This window comes from Homo sapiens, chromosome X (assembly GCF_000001405.40).
Source record: "Homo sapiens chromosome X, GRCh38.p14 Primary Assembly".
Lineage (NCBI taxonomy): Eukaryota > Metazoa > Chordata > Mammalia > Primates > Hominidae > Homo > Homo sapiens.
Genome location: NC_000023.11, coordinates 54428489 through 54451478, shown reverse-complemented (window position 1 = coordinate 54451478; position 22990 = coordinate 54428489). Strand labels below are relative to the sequence as shown.

The following is a 22990-nucleotide window of genomic DNA, read 5'->3' as shown; positions in this document are numbered from 1 at the left end:
ACCCCGTCTCTACTGAAAATACAAAAATTAGCCAGGCATGGTGGCACACACCTGTAATCCCAGCTACTGGGGAGGCTGAGGTAGGAGAATGGCTTGAATCTGGAAGGCGGAGGTTGCAGTAAGCTGAGATCACGCCACTGCACTCCAGCCTGGGTGACAGGGCAAGACTCCGTCTCAAAAAAAAAAAGAATACAGTCAGAATAAAGTGATTGCAGTGCAGTGCAGGGCAGACAGAAGAGTCAGGGAAGGGGAACGCACACTGATTGAGCATCGAGTGTGCCAGACATTGTGCTGAGCACTGTACACGTTACCTCGGTTACTGCTGAGAACCCAGAGAGTGATAATCATTATCTCCATTTTACAAATGAAAAAAAAACTACCCTCTTTTCTCAACTTGACACCCAGCAACAGAGAATTTTTTTTCCTTTTTGAGACAGAGTCTCACTCTGTCACCCAGGCTGGAGTGCAGTGGGACGATCTCCGCTCACTGCAACCTCCGCCTCCTGGGCTCAAGCGATTCTCATGCCTCAGCCCCCTGAGTAGCTGGGACTACAGGCATGAGCCATCACGCCCGGCTAATTTTTGTACTTTTAGTAGAGACAGAATTTCACCATGTTGGCCGGGCTGGTCTCCAATTCCTGACCTCAAGTGATCCACCCGCCTTGACCTCTCAAAGTGCTGGGATTACAGGTGTGAGCCACCCACACCCGGCCAACTGATAATTATTGACACGGTTTCTTTTATGTTCTATATTCTCTCCCACACATTTCACCCTTACCCCTCTACCTGAGGCCTAGCACCTCCTTGAAAAGTCCTCACCCAAACTTCAGACTGGGGCATGTCACCTCCTCTGGGCTCCTTGGCCTTATTTTCACCATCAAAACACTGATCTCCCTGTATTGTCCCTGTCTATTTCCTCTACTAGACCATGAGCTCCTTGAGGGCAGGGTCCTCTCTGAAGCTCAAGTTCTTAGCACAGGGTCTGGAAAGTATTAGTAATCGTTGAATAAATAAACCCAGGCAGATTATGTGACTTGCCCAAGGTCATATAAGTAATAGGTGAAGAAGAGGGTCAAGCCCAGGTCTTTCTGACTCCAAAACACCTGCTCTTCCACTCCTATTGCTTTTTGTGGGCCTACCTAACCAAACATCTTTCTTTTTTATTCCCCACCCCAAGGACTGAGGAGGAGAAGAAAGACTGGGTCCAGGTAACATCCAAGGCTCTGTGGTAGGGGGCTAGAAGAGTATTAACAGGTCTCCTAGGGGTTGATAGATTCTCCCTCAAAACTCACAGCTAACCAGAATGGTCCTGGACAACTGTCTTTCAGCAAACTTTACTATCCCCATTTTACAGATAAGCAAACTGAGGTGCAGAGGTTGAGCAGAAACTCACAAACTCTTCTTTTAGGAAGCTGGTTTCTCTGAGGGTGTATAAGGTGAGGGTGTCAAGCTCTGTAAAATCTTAAGCCCAGAAGGTGGCCAGGAAAGCCACCTGAGGTTTTTCAGCCACCACTCCCCCTCCCCCATTTTACACTTGTAACACTGAGACCTGGATTTGGGAGGGGATTTGTTCAAAGTCATCCACCTACCAGTGACAGAACTGGGTTTGAAACCCAGCTTTTCTAACTTCAGGCTAGGGTATACGAAGGTGAGGCGAGGGTAGAAATGGGTAGTTTGTGGGGTGATCTGACTTCTCATTTCTTACACCTCCTCCCCAGGCCATCAACTCCACCCTCCTGAAGCATGAACAGACGCTGGAGACTTTCAAACTGTTGAACTCAACAAACAGGGAAGATGAAGACACCCCACCCAACTCTCCAGTAAGAGTCCCCGCCCTCTTTCCCCTGCACTGGGACCCCTTCCAGACTTCCAAATGCCCACCTGACCTTTAGATGATCCTCTCCCTTTCCTAGACGGTAATGACCAGAGAGGCAATGCATGACTTCAGAAGCAGTCTTCCATTGGTAGGGCCACAGAGAAATCATTGGGGAAACTGAGGCCCAGAAAGTATAATAGAAGTGACTTGTCTTCAGTAGCACAGCTAGGAGCAGAGCCAGGACTTAAAGGCAGGTCTTCTGAATGTGGCTGCTCCCCCTACCCCCAGCCCATCCCCACCCCATGATAATCCAAGCGTTGGAGCAGGAACAAGGGCTGGCTGGACTGGGCTGGGGAGTAGCTGTCTCTGACCTGAGACCTGGCCCTCCCTACAGAACGTGGATCTTGGGAAGCGGGCACCTACGCCCATCCGGGAAAAGGAAGTCACCATGTGCATGCGCTGCCAGGAGCCCTTCAATTCTATCACCAAACGCAGGCACCACTGCAAGGCCTGCGGGCATGTGAGTGTTGGGAGGCAGGGGCAGAGCTAGGGAGGGGACAGAATGGCAGCCCAAAGGCCCACTGCAGAGTGGGTACCCTCCAAGTGGGGGGAGGCCACAAGTCTGCTGTGGGAGTTGGTATGCTGAAGGGAAGACCCGCTGGAATCAGGCTACTCTTGCCCACTTGCCACCCCAGGTGGTTTGTGGGAAGTGCTCCGAGTTCCGGGCCCGCCTCGTCTATGACAACAACCGCTCCAACCGTGTGTGCACTGATTGCTATGTGGCCTTGCACGGGGTGCCTGGGAGCAGTCCAGCCTGCAGCCAGCATACACCCCAGCGCCGGAGGTCCATCCTGGAGGTAAGAGCCAGCCCCTGACTAACTCTCCCACAGTGGGCAAATGGGTTCCAACTCTACCCAGTGAGACTGAGGAGGCCCGAGTATTTGGGAAACAGTAGTGATCAAGGGACCCAGGCTTGGAGTGAATAAAATGACGGCAAGAGTGAATGAAAGACAGTCATCTTTAAGTACTTAGACATTTAATCCCCACAGTAACTAATCTGCCCATGCTATTGTTCTCTTTATTTTACAAACGAGGAAACTGAGGCCCAGAGGGGTCATTTGCCCAAATTACACAGCAAATGAGTGGCAGCACTGGATTTTTTTAAAATTAAAAAATTGGCTGGGCACAGTGGCTCATGCCTGTAATCCCAGCACTTTGGGAGGCTGAGGCGGGTGAATCACCGGAGGTCGGGAGTTCAGGACCAGCCTGACCAATGTGGAGAAACCCCATCTCTACTAAAAACACAAAATTAGCCAGGCATGGTGGCGCACGCCTGCAATCCCAGCTACTTGGGAGGGCTGAGGCAGGCAAATCGCTTGAACCTGGGAAGCAGAGGTTGCGGTGAGCCAAGATCGCGCCATTGTACTCCAGCCTGGGCAACAACAGCAAAACTCCGTCTCAAAAAAAAAAAAAAAATTTAAAAATTGTCTTTTGTTATTACAAAGTAGGATAAGTAGACCAATATAAACAAAAAATAATAAAATACCGTATCCCTTCTACCCAAAAGTTACCATTGTGAGGGCTTATCCTATCTTTCTAGGCATATATGCACAAACACACATTTTGGAGATTTTTTTAAAAACAAATCTAGGTATTTATTTAACACTTAAAAGAGTACTTACTCTGTGCCAGGAACTATTCTAAGCACTTTGCATATATTAATTCATTTAATTCTCACATCAGCTCTCTTTGCTCTCCAAGTCAATACATTTTCATCTAGAGCTGGGATTCTAAGCCAGACTTCATTAACCACCCACATACCCCCTTAAAACCACAATGCTAGATTACCTCTCAATGAGTGTAGGAAATGGATGTGATGAAAGACAGAAAAAAGCATGAGGCCTAAATGTGTGAATGGCTTGAGGAATGAATGCTCTGACTGAAGAAAGAATGCCTGAGATCCGCACACTCCTTCCACTGGCCTGTAGAGGCAGCAGCCGTTGCCCAAATGAGGCAGACGAACCTAGCTTTGAATCTCAGCTCTAGCTGATTCACTGGGTGGCACTGGACAAATCACTCCTGCCACCTGAGCTTGAGCGTCTTCATCTGAGATAGGAATAGCAGTCCCTACACTGAGGAGGTATTAAAGCTAGGAGGAGCCAGGCTAGGCCTTCTGTCAACATTGATGCCCGGTGTCTCTGGCCACAGAAACAGGCCTCAGTGGCTGCAGAGAACAGCGTCATCTGCAGCTTCCTGCACTACATGGAGAAGGGTGGCAAAGGATGGCACAAGGCATGGTTCGTGGTCCCTGAAAATGAACCCTTGGTGCTGTATATCTACGGAGCCCCTCAGGTATGCATCCTACTCCTTCGGGTCCTTTCAGCCACCTGGCAAAGCCAGATCCAGTCCTTGACCTCTCCTTGGCCTTGGAAGATAAGGTGAGCCTTGGAAGATAAGGTGAGCCTATCTCTAAGAGGAAATCAGAACCCCAACCCTTGAGAGACAAAGACTGGCTAGAGACAAGGAGTGGTTGTGGTATGTAGGGAAAACCAGGATGAGTTGTGGGCCTGGCTTCCTGGAAGGAGTAGAGATGGGGAACTGCTAGGTCCAATTTGGAGTGGGTAAGAGTATGCAGATGGGACCGAGCGCAGTGGCTCACGCCTGTAATCCCAGCACTCTGAGAGGCCGAGGCAGGTGGCTCACCTGAGATCAGGAGTTCAAGACCAGCCTGGCCAACATGGTGAAACCCCGTCTCTACTAAAAATACAAAAATTAGCCTGGCGTGGTGACGTGTGCCTGTAGTCCCAGCTACTCAGGAAGCTGAGGCAGGAGAATTGCTTGAACCTGGGAGGTAGAGGTTGCAGTGAGCCAAGTTCATGCCACTGCACTCCAGCCTGGGCAACAGGGCAAGACTCTGTCTCAAAAAAAAAAAAAAAAAAAAGTATGCAGATAGGGGCAATAGCATAGACAAAGGCCTGAAAACATTATTTGGTATGCTAAAGAGACTAGCCCAGCAGTTTTGTGAGAAGAGGCGGGGGTGGGGGGAGACAGGTATTTAAACCAGCCTGCATTTTAGCCCCAGTTCTGACATGTTCCTGTTGATAACACTGGAGCCACGGAAGGTTCCTGAGTAGGGGAGTTCCTGAGTAGGGGACTGAAGACAGAGCATATGCAAAACCAGTTAGAAGCTGGGGCGGGGGAAAGGTCTAGCCCCAAGGTGGCCCCAGCTCTGTCCCTCCTCCCGCCAGGATGTGAAAGCCCAGCGCAGCCTGCCCCTCATTGGCTTCGAGGTGGGACCGCCCGAGGCAGGGGAGCGGCCTGACAGAAGGCATGTCTTCAAGATCACCCAGAGCCACCTCAGCTGGTACTTCAGCCCTGAGACAGAGGAACTACAGCGACGCTGGATGGCTGTGCTTGGCCGGGCGGGCCGAGGGGACACGTTCTGCCCGGGGCCCACACTGTCTGAGGACAGGGAGATGGAGGAGGCACCGGTGGCTGCTTTAGGAGCCACTGCTGAACCCCCCGAATCCCCCCAGACCCGAGACAAGACCTAGAGGGTTTGGGACAAACTGGGAGCCCCCACCCCACACTCTAGTTGCCCATGTCTGATTGGGGGCTCTAGCCCCTTCCCTCCCAGCTCAGTCAATACTTGAACTCCCATCACGGGCACTTTCAATCCCGAATGCTGGGTCTTGGGTTTTTTAATTCATCTTTTCACAAAACGTGGGCTTTTAAAAAATATATTCCTACAGTGATGTCAATTTTTATTAATCCCTGTCCCCAGGGAGGGTGGGAGCCGTTGCCAGTCCTACCTGAATTAGGTCGTTTTTCTCCCTCATCCCTCAATACCCTACCACAGATCCTGCCTCCACCCAGTTCCCCACAAAGCACCAGAGGTAGGAGACCTGGATTCAAGTGCCAGCTCTGCCACTGACCCTGGGGCCCCGACCCAGCCCTGCCTCCTCAGCCAGTGTCTTCACACGTACAACTCCACGTGGGGTGGCAACTAGACCTCTCCTGCCTCTCCCATGGCTTACAGCTTCTACCCGGCCCCAAGGCTACCCAGTATTTTATCGTCCAGACCCATGGCAGGGCCAGCGGGCAGGACAGGGAAACAGGGGGGAGGACAATGGATACTCAGTTTTTTGTGTTTTTTTGTGTGTTTTTTTTTTTTTAAGAAAAATACAGTTTATTTCAGGCTTACAGTAACTTTCATAGCACTGCTGTGCTCCGTTCGTTCATCTGTTTGGTTGTCCAAAGTACCAGGCTGCTAGGGTGGGCCCAGAAACTGCTCCCTTGTAAACTCTGAAGCTGAGCTCCCAGAAGGCTGATTCTAAGGCTACTACTCACAGGTCAAGCCACAGATTAAGCAGTAAGGTATTATTTATTAAGATCTTAAGCCTCACCCCTGAACTCAAATGGGATGGGATAAGGAGTAAGGAAAGAGGTTAGAGGAGACAGAAAACAAAGCCCAGCTCTTCCAAGCTCACCACCTAGCCAAGGTCTTCGAATTCCTGAGGGAACCCAGGACTGGAGGCTGGGCTGAAGGAAGGCAGCATTCCTGGGAGGTTCCAAGTTCTGGGCAGGGGTACAGAGCTGTTGCGTGTGTGTGGGGTGGGGTAAGGGAGAGGCTCCAGAGCTACTTTCATTCACATTTTCAACTATTCTCTCTTCCACTTGCATGTTCATCTCACCATTCCTGACCCAGCCAGCCCCCTATCACTGAGTACTGCTGCTGCTGCTGATCCTCTCCTCCCCAAATCCACCTGCCCACTGTCCACCGGCATCTAGCTCCTCCTCCAGCCACACCCACACTCACTCATCCCCTTCCTCACAATGACCGCACCCAAAAGACACTGTACTGGGGAACCCGGCTTCGTCACTCGGATGTTAACTAAAGGCCCAGGGGAATATGCTGGAAAAGGTCCCCCCACCCCCAAGACCAAGGACCCTAGGTTTTCCTTGCCCTGGAGGGAGCCAGACAGAGGAACAGGGGAGAGGGTGGAGATGGGGTAACCAGTCCACAGGTCTGCAATCCTCAAAAAAAAAACCCCTACAGACAACTCTTAGAACAGCAAATAAGGGCCCAAAGCCATTTCCAATCATCCCCACTCATTTTTTTCTCCGGACAATGGTCCAGCCATCTTCCACTATATCCTCTTCCTTAATAGTCTGAGCGTCTGGATCAGAGGGTTCAGGCTGGGGGCAGACCCCATCTGTAGCAGCCCCATCATTCGTAGCTGTGACCTGGAGGGGAGATTTAAAAGAGAGCTGAATACACTGACCACTGGAGACCCAGGCTCTGCTCCAGCTTTTCCAGGATTGGCTGTGTAACTTTAGGAAAGTTCCCTGCCCTCTCTGGATAATACTACTACCACCAACCACCACCATCCCCTTATCACTTCCCTGTGAATCTAGCTGCTCTTCCAGAAAATTGAAAACATCTGTATCCCCCAACCCAGGGGGCACCCACTTCACCTCCATCTCTTCCACACTGTCCACATCATCTTCATCCTCATCAGTCTCTCTAGCTGTCTTAAGTGCAGTGGCTGTGACCTTGCATTTTCTCTGAGTGATGCAGGAGGCCATCTCCCTCAGAGCAGCCCCATCACCCCTCTGGAAGTGGTGGAACATGGTCTGCAGTTGCTGGCTCACCTACCAAGAAAATATTCAACCAGTTTGGATTTTCCAGATATCTACTATACAAACAGCACGTGTTTGAAGCAACAGTGGGGAGTAGGTTGGATTTTTCCAGAAGAGAACAGAGCTCTTTCCTCCCCAAGGAATTAACCAATGAAGCAACCACATATGAAGGGCTCAAATGAAGGCCTAAAGCATCAAAAGAGAGCCTAACTAGCAGGGAATCCTCTAGAACTGGGCTTTGAAAGAAATAAGATGTAAAAGGGAAGGTAATCTTATTGGGGAGCAATGGTAACCAGAGCGGGGGTGAAAATGGACCTGGACTGGCCTGACCTGCCCTTGGGATGGGGCTGAGGAACAGGCCTGGATGGGAATGATGTATAGAAATAAAGAAAAGGCAGGGTTTGGAAAGGCTACACTTTTTCCTCTAGGCAACAGAGTCATAGTCAAGAGTCTTGGCCCAAAACAGACAGCTGGGGAGAAGAAAGACTACAGGTAGGGAGACTGCAGTTGTGCCCGTGATAAGCTCACCTGGGGCAGACTCCCGTCTTCCACAACTGTATCAAACTCGTTGGTCAACAGCTCTCCAAGGAAGTCTTCCACCTCATCTAGCTCCAAGTCAGCTAAGTAGAAAAGGACAGGGCCCTTGGGTCAAAGACCAGCCAACTTCATCACCCCTGCCCACTGCTCTTCAATATCTACTTGGTGGATCTGCAACTGGGTGGGTAAAGGCACAGTGAGCCTTTTATCTGCTAAAGTGTTCTGCATTCCAGGTTTTAACAATTTTTTAAGAACCACTAAAAATACCTCATTTCCAATCTCTTCCATCCTGCCTTTTATCTGCTAAAGTGTTCTGCATTCCAGGTTTTAACATAATTTTTTAAAGAACCACTAAATATTAATACCTCATTTCCAATCTCTTCCATCCTACCAAGGCCTCTTTCCACAACTCCCAGCCCTACACTCACCCTCTTTCATCTGGACTATTCTAACTAGCCTCCCCTCTATGAGACCTTGAGCAAGCTACTTCTTTCTGAGCCTCAGTTTTCTCATCTGTAAAGTGGGGCTAATGGTGGCCTCCTCAAAGGTCTGTTATGAGGAACCATCCAACACAATGCCTAGCACAGTGAAGATCCATGATCCATGTTAATTTCTATCATGCAAAAGCTGAAGTTTTTGAAGTGAAGAGAACCTTCACAACTGTGGTTCCACTGATAAAAGAAGCCACAGACCAATGGGATAGTTAAGAAGAAATGGACATAGTAATTCCAATGATGAAATCATCATAGCCTTGACACTGACATCCTACTGTGTGACTCTGACTGAGCCACCTTCCTCTCTGGGCTTCAGTTACCTATGGGCCTATGCTCTACTTTTTCTGAATTAGACAGTAACTCAAGAAAGTCTCCCACAAAGCTCCTAGCCCTCTCCCCTCTATGTGCTTTCTCTGGGAGAGCTCATCCACACTCTTGGCTTTCCCTACCACTCAAACTTAATATCCCCCGAATTTATCTCCAACTGAGACTACTCTGTGCCTGGACGTTTCACAGATGCCGCAGATCTTCCATATCTAAAGCCAGACTCATCACCTTACTCTTTAAACCTGCTTCGCATCCTCCAGGGTTCCTCTACTCCGAGAAAAGACACCTAATCCACCCATCAACTCAAACCAGGAACTTGCCTCTTTTTCCCTCCCTGTCTACAGCCAACCAATCTCCAAGGCCCTATTCCACCCCTTCTTTTCCATGCCTGTTGCCACTGTCCTACTTCAGGCCTCATCAGTTTCTAGACAAAAACAGCGTTCTCATCAGTCTTTCCCTCTCCAGGTTATGCTTCATACTGATTATTTCCTGAACTTTCTAGCCAGCAAATCCCATCCTATTTCTCACCCTAGAACCTGCCCACGAATTTTTACCAGCCACTGCAGTGTTTCACAGTTTGCCTTTGAGAAATATCTGTTCTGCTGGGTCTTAAGGGACACTATCCATAGAAAGCTAATGAGAAACAAAAGCAAACAGGTTTTTTAGTGGTTCTTATTCTTACCCAAGCCTTTAATATGTTCATGAGTGTTAAGACTTTTCAGTGGGAGCAGAACAAGAGTTTTTCTTACATAAGGTAACTGGAGAAGCTTCTTCACTGAACATCTAACAGAACTAGTTAGCATGAATTTTGGCAAACACTGGCCTAAATGATAAAATCAAAGGCACATAAGGGCTTCCATGTCTTATGCTTTTCAAGGGGGCTTCCCACACCCCAGCTTCATTCTCTACCACTCCTCCACCCCCCACGCACACACGCCCATACTCCAATACTGAGCTCCCTGCTACTTTCCAAATATAACACATTATACCCTCATGCCACAGAACTTGAGTGTTGCTCTCTCTGCTTCCCCCACCTAGTTAACTCCTTCTCACTAAGACCCAGCCCAATTCACCACCTCCACTAAGAAGCTGTCTCCCCATCCTGTTACCCCATGCACCCTGAGCTCCTCTTTATCAGAAAATCTATCAATGTTGTAACTATTTACGTGTGTGGATCCTCAATGGATAGTATACTTTCTTGAGAGAGATGACTCTGCCTAATGTCATCTCCAAAGCTAGAAATTGAATGAAGATTTTTTTAAAAACCATACTATGCAACAGGCCCTCTACTGGGCCTCTTGTTCTTGTATATCCCTCAAGACGAGCCTACAGTGTAGATCTTTGCTGTCCAAACAGCCACAGGTGGTTACTGAGCACTTGAAATATGGCTAGGCCAAATCGAAATGTGCTAAAACTGTAAAATACCAGATTTTGAAAACTTAATACTAAAAAATGTAAAATATCTCAATGTTTTATACTGACTACATGTTGAAATATTTCATACACACCGAGTTTACTAACATTGATTTCATCTGCTTTTTGCTTTATTAAAGTGGCTACTAAAAAATTTTAAATTATATGTGACTAGCATAATATTTCTACTGTACAGCGCTCTGGTGGATACTTTTATACGCATTTTAGAAACTAGGAAACTGAGTCTCAGGGAGGTAAACTGCCTTGTCCAGAGTAATCCCACGAGTCAGTGGTACAGCCCGTAAAGCACTGGAATCCAGGATTCTGATTCTAAAAGCTGAATTCATTCCACCTCACCTTTAGGTACCAATCCACAACTGCTCGAGAGGAAATGCAGGCTCTGCGGGATGGGGCTCCTCCTCTCCACACCCCCACACAGGCGGGTCGCGGCGCCTCACATTCACTCACCATTGCGCATGAAGTAATCCTCCACTGCACCCCCCAGCCACTTGGCCTTCTCCTGGCTGTGCACACCCCCGAAGCCATTCTCCACAGCGATCTGTAAACACAGGTCCAAGCCCACCAAGTCAGCTTGGGAGCAGACCTGGAGTAGCCTGGAGGCCGCTTACGCCGCCCAGCCAACTCCTCTTATGCCGCCTAGCCAAGCCTCAGGCACCTAGCCCAACCAACTCCTGTTCTGCCCCGGGCCCTAACCTTGACCTTGCCCTGGCCCTGGCCCCACTGACCTGCAAGGCCGGCCAGGCCTCCAGGGCCGCGCAGACCCCAGCCCGGAAAAGAGCTCGCGCATCTTCTGCAGCGCCCGCCATTATCCGGCCCCAGTCCACGTGACGTCCCGGCGGCCCAATCCCTCTGTAGCTCGGCCCAGGCAGAACGAGACGCAAGCCGAGCCTGAGAACACAGGATTCTCTTTTCCGCAGACCTGGCAGCAAGACTAGAGCAAAAGAAAAATCTGTCAGAGCGATCGATGACACCACCAGAGTTACTCACTTAAATCAAAGGACACCAGACCTGAAGGACGTGTGGGGCCATGGTTTCCGGATCCGTGGGTACTGCGGAGGAAATATGTGGGGAACTTATTACAGATACAGATTCCAGGCCCTGGGGCAGAGGACTCAGTGAGTATAGCCTTAAAAATCTGCATTTAAAAAAAGCATCCTAACATCTGTATAGAATACTGCAACCAACAACAGTAAAATACAATCAGCTCTCCCTATGGGGGGCAGTCCACGTCCGTGAATTCAACTAACCTCAGATGGAAAATATTCAGGAAAAAATTGCATCTGCATTGAACATGTGTATACTTTTTTTCTTGACATTATTCTCCTAAACAGTACAGTATAACAGCTATATACATAGCATTTACACTTTATTAGGCATTATAAGTAACCTGGAAATTATTTATTTATCTATTTTTTTGAGACCGAGTGTCACTCTGTGGCCCAGGCTGGAGTGCAGTGGCGCCATCTCGGCTGACTGCAACCTCCGTCTCCTGGTTTCAAGCAATTCTCGTGCCTCAGCCTCCCGAGTACCTGAGATTACAGGTGCCCACCACCACTCCCAGCTAATTTTTGTGTTTTTAGTAGAGACAGGGTTTCGCCATGTTGCCCAGGCTGGTCTCGAACTCCTGGGTTTAATCCACTTGCCTCAGCCTCCCAAATTGCTGGGATTATAGGCGTGAGTCACATCTGGAAATGATTTAAAGTATACAGTAGAATATTCATAGGTTATACGCAAATACTATGCCATTTTATATCAGGGACTTGAGCATCTATGAATTTTGGTATCCTCCGGAGGTCGTGGAACCAGTCTCCCACGGATACCCAGGGATAACTGTACATGTTTTTCTGAAGTACACAAGAACATTCTCCAGAACAGATCATACACTAGGCCATACAGTAGGCCTCCATAGATTTAACAGGATTGAACATACAAAGTATGTTGTCTGACCACAATGGAAAGAAGTTAAAAATCAGTAAAAAGAAACTTACAAAATTCACAAATATATGGAAATTAACACACTCCTAAGCAATAAATGGGTCAAAGAAAAAAATCACAAAGCAAATTAGAAAACACTTTTAAATGAATGAAAACAAAAACATAAAAAAATGCATGAGATGCAGCTAAAGCAAAACTTAGAGGGAAATCTTTAGCTGTAAACATGCATATCTAAAAAGAAGAGCCGGACATGGTGGCTCATGCCTGTAATCATAGCACTTTGGGAGGTTGATGCGGGAGGATGGCTTGAGCTCAGGAGTTCAAGACCAGCCTGGGCAACATAGTGAGACCCCATCTCTAAAAACAATTTTAAAAATTAGGCCAGGTGTGGTGGCTCACGCTTGTAATCACAGCACTTTGGGAGGCCAAGGCAGGCAGATCACTTGAGGTCAGGAGTTCGAGACCAGCCTGGCCAAGATGGTGAAACCCCGTCTCTACTAAAAATACAAAAATTAGCCAGGTCTGGTGGCAAGCACCTGTAATCCCAGCTACTTGGGAGGCTGAGGCAGGAGAATGGCTTGAACCCGGGAGGCGGAGGTTACAGTGAGCCGAGATGGTGCCATTGCACTCCAGCCTGGGAAACAGAGTGAGACTCTGTCTCAAACTAAATAAATAAATAAATTTGAAAACTAGGCCAGGCATGGTGGCTCACACCTATAATTCCCGCACTTTGGGTGGGCAGATCACCTGAGGTCAGGAGTTTGAGACCAGCATGGTCAATATGAACAAACCCTGTCTCTACTAAAAATGCAAAAGTTAGCCAGGCATGGTGACACACACCTGTAATCCCAGCTACTTGGGAGGCTGAAGCACGAGAATCGCTTGAACCCGGTAGGCAGAGGTTGCAGTGAGCTGAGATCACTCCACTGCACTCCAGCCTGGGCGACACAGTGAGACTCTGTCTCAAACAAACAAACGAACAAACAAAATTAGATGGGCATAGTGGCATATGCGTGTAGTACCAGCCACTCAGGAGGCTGAGGTGGGAGGATTGCTTGAGCCTGGGAGCTCAAGGCTGCAGTGAGCCGTGATTGTGCCACTGCACTCCAGCATGGGGGACAGAGCAAGACCCTGTCTCAAAAAAATAAAAAATGAAAGAATGATATCAAATTAATAACCTACACTTCCACTTCACAAAACCAGAAAAAGAAGAGCAAAGTAATCCCAAGGCAAGCATAAGAAAGGAAATAATAAATAATAGAACAGAAATAAATGAAATAGAGAATTGAAAAACAATAGAGAAAAGAAAAAACAGTGAAGCCAAAAGTCAGTTGTTGTTTTTTGTTTGTTTGTTTGTTTGTTTTGAGATGGAGTCTGGTGCTGTCACCCAGGCTGAAGTGCAGTGGTGCAATCTCAGCTCACTACAACCTCTGCCTCCCAGGTTCAAAGGAGTCTCCTGCCTCAGCCTCCAGAGTAGCTGGGATTACAGGCATATGCCACCATGCCCCGTTAATTTTTGTATTTTTAGTAGAGACAGGGTTTCACCATGTTGGCCAGGCTGGTCTTGAACTCCTGACCTCAAGTGAGCTGCCCACCTCAGCCTTCCCAAGTGTTTGGATTACAGGCGTGAGCCACCGGACCTGGGCGGTTATTTTTTTTTCAGAGATGAAGTCTTTTTTTGTTGCCCAGGCTGGAATGCAGTGGCACAAACATTGCTCACTGCAGCCTCAAACTCCTGGGCTCAAAGGATCCTCCTGCCTCTGCCTCCTGATTAGCTGGGACTACAGGAATAGGCCACCATGCCTGGCTAGTGTGTGTGTGTGTGTGTGTGTGTGGTTGTGTGTGTGTGTGTGTGTGTGTGTGTGTGTGTGTGTGTGTGTGTTGGGAGGGGGTGTCTCACTTTGTTGCCCAGGCTGGTCTTGAACTCCTGGTTTCAAGCGATCCACCTGCCTCGCCTCTCAAAATGCTGGGATTACAGGTGTGAGCAAATGCAACTGGCCAAGTCAGTTATTTGAAAAGATCAACAAAATTTACAAACCCTTAGCTAGACTGAGGAAGAAATAAAAGAAAGAAGACTCAAATTACTGAAATCAGGAACGAAAGAGGACGTATAATTACCGACCAGTCAAAAAAGACCACATATTGTATGATACCATTTATATGAAATATACAGAATAGGTAAATCTATAGAGACAGAAAATACATGAATGGTTGCCCAGGGCTTGGATGGGGAAAGAATAGAGTGTGACTTCTAAATGGCTTCAGGGCTACTTTTGGGGGTGTCGAAAATGTTCTAAAAATTAGACGAGGTAATGGTTGCTGTTATGAGCTAAATTGTATCCACCACCCCCCAAATTCATATGTAGAAACCCTAACCCCCAGTACCTCAGAATGTGACTGTATTGGGAGATAGAGCCTTTAAAAAGGTAATTAAGATAAAATGAGGTTGCATGGGTGGGCCCTAATCCGTTATGACTGATGTCCTTATAAAGAAGGGGAGATTAGAACTCGGTGCAATGGCTCAGATCACTTGAGGCCAGGAGTTCGAGACCATCCTGGGCAACAAAGCAAGACCCCCCATCTCTACAAAAAAATTTTTTTTTTAATTAGCTGAGTGTGATGGCTGTAGTCCCAGCTACTCAGGAGACTGAGGAGGGAGGATCACTTGAGTCCAGGAGGTTGAGGCTGCCGTGAGCCATGATTGTACCACTGCACTCCAGCATGAGTGACAGAACAAGCCCTGTCTCAAAAACAAAAAACAACAAAATATAATAATAAGAGGAGATGAGGACACAGGCAAAGAGGGACACCAGAGAGGTGTACACACAGGGACAACTATGTGAACACACAGTGAGAAAGCTAAGGAGAAAGCCAAGGAGCAAATCAGAAGAAACTATACTAAAAGCCATTGAATTGTACACTTTACTTATTTGTTGATTTATTGATGAAAGTATTTCCTTAAAATTAGAAATCTAATTTACAAATTACAAATTTTTAAAAACTGACAAATGTCACAAACATCTTCTAACCCAGAAAAATAAAATATTACTTTGTTGTTTTGTTTTTGTTTTGTAGATGCAAGGTTTCACCATGTTGGCCAGGCTGGTCTCAAACTCCTGACCTCAGGTGAGCCGCCTGCCTCAGCATCCCAAAGTGCTGGGATTACAGGCATGAGCCACCACGCCCTGCCAAAATAAAATATTCTTATTAATTACATGACTCACCTCTCTACTAATTTTTCTACATTTTTTGATATCAAAGAGTTTATAGAACTCTTCATATGACAAGTATTTTATATTTTCTAGAGAGAACACAAAGAATTCAATTGATTTCAATTCAGTTGAGTAAAATTTTTTATTATTAGTATTTTAGAAAAGTTTCAATTTCACAACTCATTATTAGTAATGTACATTTTAAGATTTTTGTCAAACTTGGGAAAATTTCTAGTTTCTTTTACATGTGAGCTGTAAGATTTCAGGTTATTTTAACTTCTCTTGGCACAGCGACAAATCTTAAACATTCTTCAAATAGACCAGGCTCAATAACCAGAGACCTGGAAGTGGCCTGTGCAAGTGTGGGGCCCTGATGCTTAAGATTGATTTGTTCTACGATAAATCTATCTCTGTGCAATGCCCAGGGAGAAAGGAGCACAGGGACTCATGGGAGTTCAGCAGAGGGTCCCTGACCCAGCCCTGGGGGCTGTGGCAGGCCTCTCGGAGGAGATGACACGTGAGCTGATTCTTAAAGTTTGAGTAGAATTTTGCTGGGTGATGGGGGAGTGTGTGTGTATGGGGGTGGAAGGTGTTACTGAAAGGAGGAAAGAGCCTTCTGTGCAGGGGAAAAATGTGTGCAAATACACAGAGGCAGGAAGCAACATGGTGTGTGATGATAATAAGAGCAGTTCCAGACTGAGAGAGAACCTCAGGGGCATAGCCTCCTCCGTAGCTCCAGAGACTCATTTTTTGTAGAGTCAGCAATGTAGATTGAGTTCAGAGAGGCCCAAATGAAGATATTGAAAACCTCAGTTGAAGTTCCCACAATCTGAGGCCTCAAACATACACAGAGAGAATAGACCTGCTAGATATCCCCACACATGGAGTCCCTCTCTGGGATGTAACAAACCAAGGCCTCTGAATGAACCCTTAGCTTTGAGACTGAAGTCCAAGGCCGAGTATCCTAAGTACCAAACGTCTTCACCTTTTTTGTGACTTGAACCCCCATCGGCAATCTGGTAAAGTCAATATAGCTCTTCACAGAATGTTTTTATTTTATTTTAAAATTTCTGAGGCAGGATAATCGCTTGAACTCAGGAGGTGGAGGTTTCAGTGAGCCGAGATCGTGCCACTGCACTCCAGCCTGGGCGACAGAGCCAGATTCCATCTCAAAAAAAACAAAAAAACTTATTTTGCAGAGACCAGGTTCTCACTATGTTGCTCAGGCTGGTCTCAAACTCCCGGGCTCAAGTAATCTTCCCTCAGCCTCCGAAAGTGCTGGGAATACAGGCATGAGCCTAGCCCAGAATAATGTTTTTAAATGCATACAATAAAATATAGGTTTACAAAGGAAGTCAAGTATGTTAAAATACAGTTATCAAAATATTACAGAAACACCATTCCAAATTGTGTATTTGTTTGCCAATTTTAAAATTGCAATCAGGCCAGGTGCAGTGGCTCACGCCTGTAATCCCAGCACTTTGGGAGGCCAAGGCGGGCAATCACCTGAGGTCAGGAGTGCGAGACCAGCCTGACTAACATGCTGAAACCCCGTCTCTACTAAAAATACATAAATTAGCTGGGCATGATGGTGCACACCTGTAGTCCCAGCTACTCTACTCAGGAGGCTGAAGCAAGGGAATTTCTTGAACCGGAGGCAGAGGTTGCAGTGAACCGACATGGCACCACTGCACTCCAGCTTGGGCAACAGAGTGAGAATCCATAAAAATTAAAAAAAAAAGGAAGGAAGGGAGGGCGGGAGGGAAGAAAGACACAGACACCCCAAAATTCTATGCATGATGCTTTATAAGTCCATGTATCCCAAACTCAACTCCCAGTATGACACCCTAGACTGAGCTCCAAGATTAAAATGCAGGTTGAACCACCACATTGAATGTGCAGAGGATGCTTCCAGATAGAAAATTTCAGCCGGGCACGGTGGCTCACGCCTGTAATCCCAACACTTTGGGAGGCCAAAGTGGGTAAATCACAGGGTCAGGAGTTCAAGACCAGCCTGGCCAACATAGTGAAACCCTGTCTCTACTAAAAATACAAAAATTAGCCGGGCGTGGTGGCACGTGCCTGTAGTTCCAGCTACTCGGGAGGCTGAGGCAGGAGAATTGCTTGAACCCGGGAGGTGGAGGTTGCAGTAAGCCGAGATCACGCCACTGCACTCCAGCTTGGGCAACAGAGTGAGACTGTCTCAAAAAAAAAAAAAAAAAAAAAAGAAAGAAAAGAAAATTTCAGATTAGGACCAAGCCTGGCATCCCAAGACAGAGCCCACCAGACAGACATCCCTGGGTGAGGCCATCACATCCGTATCTCCTAGGCTTGACCTCAGGCTAAAATCTCCAGACTGGGCTTCCAATACCTGAGCAGACTGAGCTCTGAAACTGGCACTCACTCGGTGAGAGGCTTAGTCATATGTCAGAGAAAATATCAGGCTCCCATATCAAATCCTCTCCCAACTGAAACACTAGAATTAGTGTCTCAAGAGTGAACCATCTGGGCAGATTCCTTGAGTCCAGGAGTTTGAGACCAGCCTGGGCAACATGGCAAAACCCTGTCTCTGAAAAAAATACAAAAATTAGCAGGACTTGGTGGGACATGCCTGCGGTCTCCAAGCTACCCTGGAGGCTGAGGTTGGAGGATCAGCTTGGGCCCAGGAGGCGGGGGTTGCAATGAGCAGAGATGGCAGCAGTGCACTCCAGCATGGGTGACAGAGCCAGATCCCTGTCTCAAAAAAAAAAAAGAGTGAACCATCAACATGTAAACCCTTAACCTTAAAGTCATGTCCCCATAATGCCCATAATGAGCCTCTAGGTAGAGCCACGGGACTGAGTCCCCAAACTTAGCTCCTTGAAGGAGTATGGGGACTGGGACTGATATCCTGCAAATGGGCCCAGGGTGAGTTCCCAGAAGGACCCATCACATACTAAAGCCACAAACTCATCCCCCCTGCTGAAAGTGTAGACTGAGCCCATGTTCTGAAACAGCTTCCCTCAGACTGAAAACCTAATATCTGAACCTGGAAATAACATGCCCAAGGCCGGGCATGGTGGCTCACGCCTGTAATTGGAGCACTTTGCGAGGCTGAGGCGGGCAGATCACTTGAGGTCAGGAGTTCGAGACCAGCCTGGCCAACATGGTGAAACCCCATCTCTACTAAAAATACAAAATTTAGCCAGGCATGGTGGTGGGCACCTGTAGTCCCAGCTACTTGGGAGGCTGAGGCAGGAGAATTGCTTGAACCCGGGAGTCAGAGGTTGCAGTGAGTTGAGGTCGCGCCACTGCACTCCAGCCTGGGCGACACAGCGAGACTCTGTCTTAAAAAAAAAAAAAAAAGTGAAAAAATTAGCTGAACGTGGTGGCACTTGCCTGTAGTCCCAGCTACCCGGGAGGCTGAGGCAGGAGAATCACTTGAACCTGGGAGGCAGAGGTTGCAGTGAGCCGAGATTGTGCCACTGCACTCCAGCCTGGGTGACAGAGCGAGACTCCATCTCAAAAAAAAAAAAGCCCAAAATGAGCCCTAGAGGGAATCCCCAGAGGGAACCACCGGTATGCACCTATGGTAGCCATGAGACTTCATCTCACAGACCGTAAGCTACAGGGGATGAATTTAATCAAGGGCCCCAGCTGCTGTTCTGAAATCCACCCTTGTATTTGCGCAGACATTGCTTGCCATCAGCTGAGTGCCAAAAACTACCAATAACTGAGTGCAGCAGGGATACTTTGGCAAATTTGGCTCAAAGAATCCTGGATAATTGCTTGAGCCCAAGAGTTCAAAACCAGCCTGGGCAACATGGTGGGACCCTGTCTATAGAAAATCAAAAAATTAGCTGGGTATGGTGTGCACTCCTATAGTCCCAGCTACACTTGGGAGGCTGAGGTGGGAGGAGTGCTTGAGTCAGGGAGTTCGAGGCTGCAGTGAGTCGTGATCTTGCCACTGCACTCCAGCCTGGGCAACAGAGTGAGACCCTATCTGAAAAAAAAAAATTTAATGGAAGAAAGGAGCAGTTTCTTAGGACTGCTTTTTTTTTTTTTTTTTTTTTTTTTGAGACAGAGTCTCACTCTGTTGCCAGGCTGGAGTGCAGTGGCATAATCCGGGCTCACTGCAACCTCCACCTCCCGGATTCAAGTGGTTCTCCTGCCTCAGCCTACTAAGTAGCTGAGATTACAGGCACGTGCCACCTCACCCGGCAAATTTTTGTATTTTTAGTAGAGACAGGGTTTCACCATATTGGCCAGGATGGTCTCGATCTCTTGACCTTGTGATGCACCCTGCCTTGGCCTCCCAAAGTGCTGGGATTACAGGGTGTGAGCCACCGTGCCCGGTCAGGACTGCTTTTACATAAGAGAAATAAAAGGTTTGAGCCGGATTCGATGGCTCACACCTGTAATCCCAGCACTTTGGGAGGCCAAGGTGGGAGGATCACTTGAGCCCAGGAGTTTGAGACCAGCCTGGGCAACAGGGAGACCCTGTCTCTACCAAAAAAAAAAAAATTAAAAAAATAAGCAGATATGACTAATTTACCGGCATGGCACATGCTTGTAGTCCCAGCTACTCTGGAGGCTGAGGTGGGAGGATTGCTTGAGCCCGGGAGGTCTAGGCTGCAGTGAGCAATGATCAAAACAGAGTGAAACTCTGTGTCAAAAAAAGAAAAATAGAGGTTTCTATCTTGTTTAAGCCATCATTATTTGGTGTCTCTTTGTTACATGCAATCACATCTGATGCCAGCTGAGCCCTCTTGAGTGAGCCAATGCCTGAGCTCACTCAGAACTCACTCGGAACTCCCGGACTTCTCTCAGGAGAGTGAATGCCACTGGGTGCGGTGGCTCACGCCTGTAATCCCAGCACCTTGGGAGGCCGAGGCGTGTGGATCATTTGAGGTCAGAAGTTCAAGACCAGCCTGGCCAGCATGGTGAAACCCCGTCTCTACTAAAAATACAAAAAATTAGCCAGGCGTGGTAGTGTGCGCCTATAATCCCAGCTACTTGAGAGGCTGAGGCAGGAGAATCACTTGAACCTGGGAGGCGGGGGTTGCAGTGAGCCAAGATCATTCCACTGCACTCCAGCCTGGGCGACAGAGCAAGACTCCATCTCAAAACAAAACAAACCAAAACAAACAAAAAGTCTGAATGCCCATGCTGAGCACCCAACAGTGAGTGATCCAGACAGAGCTCCTGACTGACTAATACAATGAGATTGATCTCAGGTATACCAGTGCCTGAACCTCTGGACAGACTACCATAAAGCAGGTGGCCCAAACAGTTTCTAGACCAAACCCCTAAAATGATTTCCCCAGAGGCCCCTGAAGAAGCTCCCCAAGCTGAGTACAAGAGACTCAGTTTGCAGAATTAAGTTTCAGATCCCCATACTAAAGCAATACTCTGAGCTCTGCAGAAGAAAGTCATACTACCAACCTTAGAATGAACCTTGGATGGAGCATCAACCTGTCATATCCAGAATGAGCCCCTTGACTGTGCCTAGCAGATAGAGTACCCCTCACAGTCAGAGCCTCCAAACTGAGTTCTACAGACTAAAATTCCCAGGTAGAGTTCTCTGAAACTGATCTGCCAAACTAAAGTCACAAATTGAGTCCTTCAGGCTAGGACCTCAGACTGACTGACCTGCAATAACAGCCCTAAGTGGTCCACTCAGGTTGCTCAGATTGAACCCAAGAATAGGCCTCTAGAGTGCCTAGATAAGCCCCCAAACTGATATCCCAGATTGAAATCTCTAGAAGAAGCCCCTCGGGAAACTGAAATAACCACTGACAATGTTGAAACTTATCTGAACCCTGTATTCCTGGAAATCAGCCATGGTCAAAAAATTCCCCAACCTGGCCAGGTGCGGTGGCTCACGCCTGTAATCCCAGCACTTTGGGAGGCCGAGGTGGGCGGATCACCTGAGGTCAGGAGTTTGAGACCATCCTGGCCAAAATGGTGAAACCCCATCTCTACTAAAAATACAAAAAAATTAGCCAGGAGTAGTGGTGCGCACCTGTAGTCCCAGCTACTCAGGAGCCTGAGGCAGGAGAATCGCTTGAACCTGGGAGGCAGAGGTTGCACTGAGCCGAGATTGCACCACTGCACTCCAGCCTGGGTGACAGAGTGAGACTCCATCTGAAAAAAAAAAAAAAAGTTCAAACAAGAGACAATGGTGGTTTGGTGTAGATTAGAGATAGTGGAGACGGAGAGATGTGGACAAATTCAGGATAAATTTTAGAGGTAGAACCAATAGCACTCCATAATAAATTGAGTGTAAAGGAGGTGAGAGAAGGGATGATTCTCAGCTTTCTAGTTCAATAACTACTGGTTATACAGATGGGAGAAGGTGAGAGGAGGGAAAGACTTGGGGAAGAATATCAAGATTTCTGTTTTAGACATGTTCAATTTGAGGTGCTTGTGAGATAATCCAGTGGCGATGACAAGGAGGCAGTTGGTTCTACAAGCTCAGAGAACTTCAATATTTAGAGGTCAGCAAAAGAGACTGAGAAGAAACACACGTGTTTCTAGGAGGGATTGTTGATTGCCAGATGCTACTGAAAAGACAAGTAGGATGAGAAAAAAAAAACAAACCTGTCTGTTGGATTTGACATGAAGTCTTTGGTGACTTTGACAAGAGTGGGTTCTATGGAGTGGTATGAAGCTAGACTGCAGTTGGTTGAAGAGTGGGAGATGAAGTGGAGAGAGTAATATGTAACTTACATCTGGAGAAGGTTTGCATGAGAGGAACAGAGAAATAGGCAGTAGTAGGAAGAGCTCATGGTATTCAAGGGGGCTCTTAAAGATGGTATATCAGCCAGGTGCGGTGGGTCACGCCTGTAATCCCAGCACTTTGGGAGGCCAAGGCAGGTGGATCACCTGAGGTCAGAAGTTCGAGACAAGCCTGGCCAACATGGTGAAACCCCATCTCTACTAAAAATACAAAAATTAGCCGGGCGTGGTGGTGCACACTGGTAGTCCCAGCTACTCAGGTGGCTGAAGCAGGAGAATCACTTCAACCCAGGAGGCAGAGGTTGCAGTGAGCCGAGATTGCACCACTGCACTCCAGCCTGGGCAAGAGAGCAAGACCCTGCCTCAAAAAAAAATGATAATTATCTCTGAGAGTGGAGAGGTGATCACAGCAGGATTGCTATAAGTCCCAGGTACTAATGCCTATTTGAGGTCTGCAATCAATACTTTAGAGTGAAATCATTGGCTTCTGTGGGGTTTTTTTGTTTTGTTTTCTCTAACAGCATTCAGCTGCTCTCTTACAGAGGCAGAGAGTAACCTGGGTTGTGTTTGGCCAGATGAGTATAAAGATGAGAGAGACGGGCTGTTTGTTTTCTATGCTGTGTAACAAGTTACCACAAAGTTAGAGACATAAAACAACACACATGTATTATCTCACAGTTTCTGTGTGTCAAGAGTCTGGGAACAAATTATCTGGGTCCTCTTTTTCAGGGTCTAACTAGGCTGCATCGTGGGTGTCAACTGGGGCTGCAGTCTCATCAGAGGCTTAACTAGGGAAAATATCTGCTTCCAAGCTCCCTCAGGCTGTTGGAAGAATTCATCTTTTGTTTCTTTAATATCTCCTATATCATATC

General features: G+C 47.5%; 2 protein-coding genes across 6 annotated transcripts in view, besides 1 other annotated feature; one reads left to right on the top strand and one right to left on the bottom strand.

Annotated features, from left to right (window-relative positions):
• Positions 1-6025, top strand: part of FGD1 (FYVE, RhoGEF and PH domain containing 1) — a 50781-nt gene extending 44756 nt beyond the window's left edge. The window contains exons 13-18 of the mRNA NM_004463.3: positions 1178-1208; positions 1719-1820; positions 2211-2336; positions 2512-2673; positions 4025-4168; positions 5065-6025. Of these exons, the coding sequence (NP_004454.2) occupies positions 1178-1208; positions 1719-1820; positions 2211-2336; positions 2512-2673; positions 4025-4168; positions 5065-5370 (871 nt within the window). The 3' untranslated portion in view covers positions 5371-6025. The remainder of the gene's footprint in view (positions 1-1177; positions 1209-1718; positions 1821-2210; positions 2337-2511; positions 2674-4024; positions 4169-5064) is intronic.
• On the bottom strand, positions 3447-11075 carry TSR2 (TSR2 ribosome maturation factor). Of its 5 annotated transcripts, none has more exons than NM_001346791.2 (5): positions 10977-11075; positions 10588-10789; positions 7988-8079; positions 7295-7471; positions 3447-7063 (listed from the first exon to the last, which is right to left on the bottom strand). In NM_001346791.2, exons 4-5 carry the CDS (start codon positions 7448-7450, stop codon positions 6929-6931), a joined length of 291 nt encoding a protein of 96 aa, NP_001333720.1. In that variant the 5' UTR covers positions 7451-7471; positions 7988-8079; positions 10588-10789; positions 10977-11075; the 3' UTR covers positions 3447-6928. The 5 variants fall into 5 exon arrangements, with proteins under 5 accessions (NP_001333720.1, NP_001333719.1, NP_477511.1 ...); NM_001346790.2 differs by having other exon boundaries at positions 7295-7462; NM_058163.3 differs by having other exon boundaries at positions 10699-10789.
• Positions 11308-11357: an enhancer, noted in NCBI's record as "active region_29670". NCBI's record gives its function as "activates an Ori minimal core promoter by ATAC-STARR-seq in GM12878 lymphoblastoid cells {active_cell/tissue: GM12878}" and the evidence as "EXISTENCE:reporter gene assay evidence [ECO:0000049][PMID:35858748]".